The 8007-nt window shown below is 38.8% G+C and overlaps 1 long non-coding RNA gene across 1 annotated transcript; it reads left to right on the top strand.

The window, feature by feature from the left end:
- The first annotated feature begins 5951 nt into the window (after positions 1-5951).
- LOC107985125 (uncharacterized) lies at positions 5952-7177 on the top strand. The gene is made up of 2 exons (XR_001753541.3): positions 5952-6058; positions 6490-7177. It is a non-coding gene; the product is annotated as an uncharacterized LOC107985125 (long non-coding RNA).
- The last annotated feature ends 830 nt before the right edge of the window (positions 7178-8007 follow it).

The raw sequence follows: 8007 nt of genomic DNA, 5'->3' as shown, positions 1-8007 counted from the left end.
AGAACTTAGTTTATTCCATGCAGCACTGAACTAATTGTATGGTTTCCCATTCACATGATTAATGTAGGCAGCAAGTCAGGCAATTTCTAGCTTTTGGCAGACATTTTGGGCTGGAGTAGCCCATCCTCAAGGGTTTACTCTGACTGAGAACTATAAACAGTATGTCCTTACTTTGCTTTGTAGAATGTAGATACAGATGAAGGATCAGGTATCTGTATTTAACCTCCTAGTGAACCCCTTTGCCTCTTGTGGTAAATGAGTGCATCTGTAAGAACAATCTGAGTCTCTAAAAGGAAGCTTTCTCTTGAGTGAAATAGTCCAAGGACAGCTTGTTTATAAAAATGCCCTCAGAAATTTTGAGGAGATATTTTTCTGCAAAGTCAAAATGAATGAATGTTCTCTGAGCACCTATTATTCATATAGGAACATTTATTAATTGCTTAATATGCATAGGTACTATTATATAGGGGATAAACAGGCTATATATCATATAACTTAAAAACCAACAACCTTTGGGAAAAAACTCTGATTATTTAAAAAAATGTTTATTGTAGAAAATCTGAAGGAAAGGTTGAGGATTTTTTTTTGTTTTTTTGTTTTTTTGTTTTTTTGTTTTTTTGAGATGGAGTCTCACTCTGTCACCCAGGCTGGAGTCAGTGGCATGATCTCAGCTCACTGCAACCTCTGCTTCCTGGGTTCAAGCAATTCACCTCCCTCAGCCTCCCAAGTAGCTGGGATTACAGGCGCACACCGCCACGCCTGGCTAATTCTTATATTATTAGTAGAGACGGGGTTTCATCATGTTGGCCAGGCTGGTCTCGAATTCTTGACCTCAAGCGATCTGTCCACCTCAGCCTCCCAAAGTGCTGGGATTACAGGCGTGAGCCACTGCACCTGGCCTGAGGAAAAAAATTTAATAATCATTTCTAAGTCCCCATCCAAAGAGAACTACTGTTACTAATTTGATGTTTTATATTTTCTTGTGCATACTCTACATGTGTGCATACTCTACATGAGGATTATTATTGAGATAATACAGATTACAGCTTTACATACTTCTTTTTCCATTCAGCATGATAGAGTGACCATTTTTCATATCTTTAAATGTCATGCAAAAGTATCACTTTATTGTACATCATTTAAATTGTACATTATATTCTAATTCCTGCTGACTGGCTATCAGGATTTCCTTCTCATAATTATCTAATACTCACTTGGATTCCCCGTAAGAATGGTTTCCTTACAAAATGAGAAAAGTTGAGCCCTTTCCACTAAAATGGTTAAAATAAAAACTTCATGTGTTTAATTCTGGTTATCTGGAAAATTCACTATGCAGAACTTATAATGTTAAATAAACGAGTTGTTAATAAATGTAGATCATGTCTTATCCAAAAATGCCTATCTACATGACATAGTACAGTCATTGTTTTATATCAATGCAGAGAGGAAGAAGCTGTGATGTTAATAAAGTTGAATTTTAAAATGAAAATCCAAAGAACTATATGTATATAGGCCAAATAAAAAGTTACTTGATTACTTAATAATATGGATTAAAATGAGTAATCACTGTAATTCATATATTCAAGAAGTTTTCTTTTCAAGTTAACATTTTAAGTCCTGCCATGCCATTCCCTGTCCATATAAATACACTCACATAATACATACACAACACACATATTCATACCCACCCACCCTCCTGAATTAATCAATTCTAAATTTTGCTAGAGTTTAATTGTAAGATTTAGTGACAGATATTTTTCATATCATGTCATGTCTAACTTCTGGAATCACATACATATGGTGAATTTGGTGCAGAAATATGGCCAGATTTTTCAAAAGCACCAATCAAAACATTTTGATGGTTCACTTAATATAAGCAATAAAACCCCTCACTTTCCTTTTTTTTTTTTTTTTTTGGTAACGTCTTAGAACATGTGATTTTCCAGCAAGGGTGTGGGGGGCGGGTTTCACTGTATCCAACAACATATTGAATCTCTCTGCCTGTTTTCTCTCTCCTTGAAGATTCTTTAACTTGGAATTCAGCTCAAATTCAGAGTCTAACTGAAATTCAATTTAATCGTTAATCCCATAAGGGGATACAATAGCTGCTACACATTCTGGCAGACTCAAAAATCTACAAATTTTTAGTTTTAATAATGTTTTCCCTGTCTCTAATTTCCTGTCTAAGAAAACATTCTCTTGGACAATTACCCCCGTAATGGCCTTGCCAGAATCAATTTCAAGTTTAGCTGTCTCAGACAGCTCAGTAGCAGTCTGGGATTTTTTTCCCTCTACAATTTTCATTTTTTCTGCACAAGAAACCTAAGGTTTTATTCATTGTCATCTCAAATGTCTTCACATATTGTTAAATATACATAGAACATATATGCTTTAGCATTATGTATTAGTATAATATTCCAACTGTCTCCAACTTACAAATGGGTCAAGTTCTATGAATTCTTCTCTTGGTCATTTGAAGCAAGCTTTATGTTTAAGGGTAGATTCTAAGAAAAACAAAATTAAAAAATTTGAACCTTAATGCATCCATACAAAACACTTTAAGCAATATTTTAAACACTTTAAACAATATTTTATGTGGCATGTAGCTCCTAGTGATATGAAGAAGTTCTTTCTGAATTCTAGTTGCAGATACCATGAACACATCTCTCCCCATTCAGTGGCTTCTCTACTAGAGACATAAAGATTGGCATGTGGGATTAGTTTGGAAGGGGCAGCATAGGCATAAATAATCCCTACTGCCAATTTCTCATTTATGCTTTACAACTTCAAAAAGAAAGACATTTCTCCAGATCATTCACACCCCAGAGATACCCAATTGAGGACCAAAGGACAAGTTTATCCGGAAGAAATGTCAGGGGAAGTTCTAGTCTTAAATATATCCACAGGCCTGCTGTTTATATAACAGTTATTTTTTTTCAAATGAGAAGAAAGTAAACATCTTTATTAACTTATGAAAATGAAATAAAATGTAAGCTACACAACATGAGGGGCTCAGATGCTACTCTTGTAGATCATCATTGCATTTGTGGGAATTTCTTTCTTTTTCTTTCTTTTTCTTTCTTTCCTTCTCCTTCCTCCCTCCCTCCCTCTCCTTCCTTCCTTCCTTCCTTCCTTCCTTCCTTCCTTCCTTCTTTTCTTTCTTTCCCTCCCTCCCTCCCTTCCTTTCTTCCTTCCTTCCTTCCTTCCTTCCTCTCTCTCTCCCTCTCTCTGGCTCTTTCCTTATGTCTTTCCTTCTTTCTTTCTTTCCTTTGTCTGATCCGTTGCCCAGGCTGGAGTGTTGTCATGCAATCACAGCTCACTGTAGCCTCAAATTCCTGGGCTCAGGCAATCCTCTCACTTCAGCCTCCTGAGTACCTGAGACCAGGGGCACACACCACCACTCCCAGCAAATTTTTAAAAATTATTTGTGGGCCAGGCACAGTGGCTCATGCCTGTAACCCCAGCACTTTGGGAGGCCGAGGCAGGTGAATCACTTGAGGTCAGGAGTTCAAGACCAGCCTGGCCAACATGGTGAAACCCTGTTTCTACTAAAAATACAAAAATTAGCTGGGCATGGTGGTGGCACCTTTAATCCCAGCTACTAAGAAGGCTGAGGCAGGAGAATTGCCTGAACCCAGGAGGTGGAGGTTGCAGTGAACCGAGATCATGCCGCTGCACTCCAGCCTGGGCGACAGAACGAGACTCCGTCTCAAAACAACAACAACAAAAAATTGTGGAGACAGAATCTCCCTGTATTACTCAGATTGGTTTCCAACTTATGGGCTCAAGTGATCCTCCCACCTTGGCCTCCCAAAGTGTTGGGATTACAGGCATGAACCACCACACCCAGACTGTGGAAATTTCATAAGCAGAAGTGACTACAAGCTGTCTGCAAGGCAGTGGGTGAAAACATCACTTACTTTGTTGAATACATCACCACTGAGGGATGAGATGGCAGCTGCAGGTGTATGGGCAGCCACTCCCCCTCCTACCCCTAGGTCAGGCATTTCTTGTCAATTCTCAACTGCTGCCTGCTGAGGTTGAATGAGGCTTCAGAACCTTTTCCTACAATGGCACCCCATCCCATTCTTTTTGTCTTGTTGCAAAAAGATTTTTATAGAAAGAACAGATTTTTAAACAATACATCAAAAATCAATGTAATCTACCATATTATCACATTAAATAAGGAAAACCACATGATAATATCAAGGGATGTAGAAAAAGCATCAGACAAAATTAATTCATGTTAAAAACTCTCAACAATTCGGCCGGCGTGGTGGCTCACGCCTGTAATCCCAGCACTTTGGGAGGCTGAGGCGGGTGGATCACGAGGTCAGGAGATCAAGACCATCCTGGCTAACACAGTGAAACCCTGTCTCCACTAAAAATACAAAAAAAAATTAGCTGGACGTGGTGGCGGGTGCCTGTATTCCCAGCTACTAGGGAGGCTGAGGCAGGAGAATGGTGTGAACCCGGGAGGCAGAGCTTGCAGTGAGGTGAGATCCAGCCGCTGCACTCCAGCCTGGGCGACAGAGCAAGACTCCGTCTCAAACAAACAAACAAACAAACAAACAACTCTCAACAATTCAGGAATAGAAGAGAACTTCCTCAACTCAATAAAGGACTGTAGGTTTTTCAAAAATCAGTATCCAGAGCTCTCACAGAGTCAGGAATAAAGCCTGTTCCCATCAGCTAGACTGAAAAAAAACCCTCATAATTCACAGGACGTGGGTTAGGAGCAAACTCCCTCAAACCAGTTAAAGGCATCTACAGAAATGCTCATGTTGTATTTAATGATGAAAGACTAGATGCTTTCCTTCTAAGATCAAGAAAGAGACGAGGATGTCCATTTTCAGCACTTTAATTCAATATTGTACTGGAGGTTCTAGCCAGCACAATACAATAAGAAAAAGAAATAAAAGACATTCCGCTTGAAAGATAGAAACAACACTGTCCTTGTTTGGAGACATATGGTTATCTTTGTAGAAAAATCTTAAGGAATTTACAAAACAAAAGAAATTAAAACTAGTGAGCTTTTTTTTTTTTCCCTCCGGAGTCTCGCTCTGTCACCCAGGCTGGAGTGCAGTGGCGCGATCTCAGCTCACTGCAAGCTCCGCCTCCTGGGTTCATGCCATTCTCCTGCCTCAGCCTCCCGAGTAGCTGGGACTACAGGCGCCCACCACCATGCCAGGCTGATTTTTGTATTTTTAGTAGAGATGGGGTTTCACCATGTTAGCCAGGATGGTCTCAATCTCCTGACCTCATGATCCACCTGCCTCAGCCTCCCAAAGTGCTGGGATTACAGGCGTGAGCCACCATGCCCAGCCTAAAACTAGTGAGCTTTGTAAGGTGGCAGGATACAAAAATCAACGTAAAAGTTAATTATATTTGGATATACTAGCAATGAACAATCAGAAATTGAAATTCAAATAACATTATCATAACATTACTATGAGAAATTAAATAAGGCAAATAAGTGAAAAGATACATTGTGTTCCTCGCTTGGAAGACTTGATAACGTTAAGGCATCAGTCTCTTCCAGTTGCATCTATAGATTTAATTCAATCTCAATCAAAATCTCAATAGTTTTTTTTTAGTAGAAATTGATAAGTTGATTTTGAAATCTGTATGGAAATACAAAGGACGTAGAATACCCAAAATAATTTTGGAAAAGAAGAGCAAATTTGGAGGACTAATGCTACCTGCTTTCAAGATTTATTGTAAAACATAAGTAATCAAAAAGGGTAGTATTGACATAAAGATAGACAAATTGATCTAAAATTTGGTTAAAACACAGGTGAATGGATAAACCAATTCTGGTATATCCATTCAATGACATACTATTTTGTAGCAACAAAAAAATGAATTACCTGATGAACACAAATAAATTTTAAAATGATTATGCTGAGTGAAAGAAGCCAAGCAAAAAAGATTTATATTGTAGGATTCCACTGATGTAAAATTCTAGAACATGTGAACTAATCTAGAGTGAGAGAAAGCAAATCTGTGGTTGCCTAGAGACCACGGGGCAGGAATGGTAGAAAGACATTTCAAAGAGGTATTAATACAAGGAAGCTTTGGTGTTTCAGAGGTGGATTCATATGTCCAAACTTACCAAATCAAGTTGTATACTTTAAATATTTGCAGTTGGCTGTATGTTAACGATACCTCCCTAAAGCTATTAAAATAATAGCAATTAAAAACTCTCAGTTTTTATAGATTCTTCTTCAACTTTTTGGCGAGAAAACCAATGGAATGGGCAGTTCAGTTTCAGGCAAAGAAGTATTGCTGCTCAAGAATGGTTTCTAAACAGATTGGAGGTTAAAGAAGGACTATTGAAATCCTGTTTAACCCAACTACCTTTATCAAAATATATTGATATTTTTTTCTTGAGTAAAAAAGATTAAAATGAGCAATTTTCTGGCACTAGTGGAGAAGATGGCAAATGTGCAATGATCTAGCTGGACTTTTTCCTACTTTTGCTATCAGGGCTGATGACTCTCAAGGCTCAGATATCTGCAGCTCAAGAATGGATGTGACCAGTGATGGCAAGCCACCTTAGGCCATTCAAGGCTCCCAGCTGGAAAGAAGGCATCTCTCATTTGGGTGTCTAAAGAGAAAGCCCAACACTCTCACCTCCAGAGCCAGGCTCAGCCTCTTATAATGCTCCCATTTCTCTCTCTGGTCTGGCCAACCCAGCTCAGATCTGAACTGCTTTTTCTCACTTATGACCAGGGCTTATCTCATCGGCCTTGGAGAAAAACTCCACTTGGAGTTCCCACTTGGAGAAAAACTCTTGATTCTAATGCCTTATCCTGTATTGGTGGAGAGAATTTAAATCAATGTTCAGAGTCCCAGAATTTCCACATTGAAGTCTTCCTGGCCAGCACAGAGTGATAAGTGACTCACATTCTCAAAAATATCTATACCAAAACTACAAGATCATGCCTCTTACTACTCCTACTCCTCAAGGTGAGGAAATCCTAGACAAACTACAGTGTAACAAAGTCCCTGAGAAAAGTGTCACTCCCTCTTTTCTTCACCAATCAAGGGAAGACAAAAACAAGCAGAATTTTAAGGAGTTTTCTGAATACTAATTAGTAGTATGAGCTTGGACAACTCACAACTTGTTGGTCTTCAATTTCCCCAGCTGTAGAAATAAAACGATTATACAGAATGATCTCAAAGGTCTCATTCAATTCTATGCAGACATATATGTTCCCAGGCCTTAGTGGGTTTGCAATCTGGTTGAAGTAGAAGACTAGCCATCCTGAAAAAAAAAAAAAAAAAAAACCAGCAAGCATTACTAGAAAAAATACAATTACATGTTCAATTATGTGGTACAGATTCTGAGTGTTCTAAGAATTCAGGGCACAGTTGTATCTGAGGCTGGAGAAACAACTCAAGGCCTCATGGAGGAATGGTGTTTTTAGCTTAGACTTAAACGTGATTTACTAGCACTGCAATTCCAAAATCCACTGGGGCAGTGGCTAATTTTCAGGGCAGGAACTGTGTCTCCTTAATCGCTGTACTTTTCCTCCCTAGCGCTCCGTGTCTACACCATTGGATTTAGCTCCAAATCCACTCTATCTTGTCCTGTTTACTGTGGGCTCATGCATGCTGGTCCAACTGTATCATAAATTCTTAAGAGCCAGGCCTTTAGTTTACAAGTTTGTATCAGTTTTGTGGCTCAACATAAGAGTAAATCATACTCTTTATGACACAGGCCTTTCTTAACTCTCTTTATTGAATTGAAATGAATTTAAACTGTGGGATCAGGGCAGGTTTCAAAGGAAATGAAGTTATTTAAAGAGAAATCTGAGGAGACAGGAGAGGAGAGGATGTCTCTGTTGGATGCTTGTGAAGGACAAACATACCACAAAAGGGTGATGTATATATAAGTCATGGGCTGGCTGCAAGAAGACTATGAGCCTCAAGTCCTTTGATTTTTTTTTTTTTTTTTTTTTTGAGATGGAGTCTCACTCTGTCACCCAGACTAGAGTGCAG

Source organism: Homo sapiens, chromosome 18, assembly GCF_000001405.40.
Source record: "Homo sapiens chromosome 18, GRCh38.p14 Primary Assembly".
NCBI lineage: Eukaryota > Metazoa > Chordata > Mammalia > Primates > Hominidae > Homo > Homo sapiens.
The sequence above is the reverse complement of the archived record's forward strand: the minus strand, read 5'-3'. Positions and strand labels throughout refer to the sequence as shown.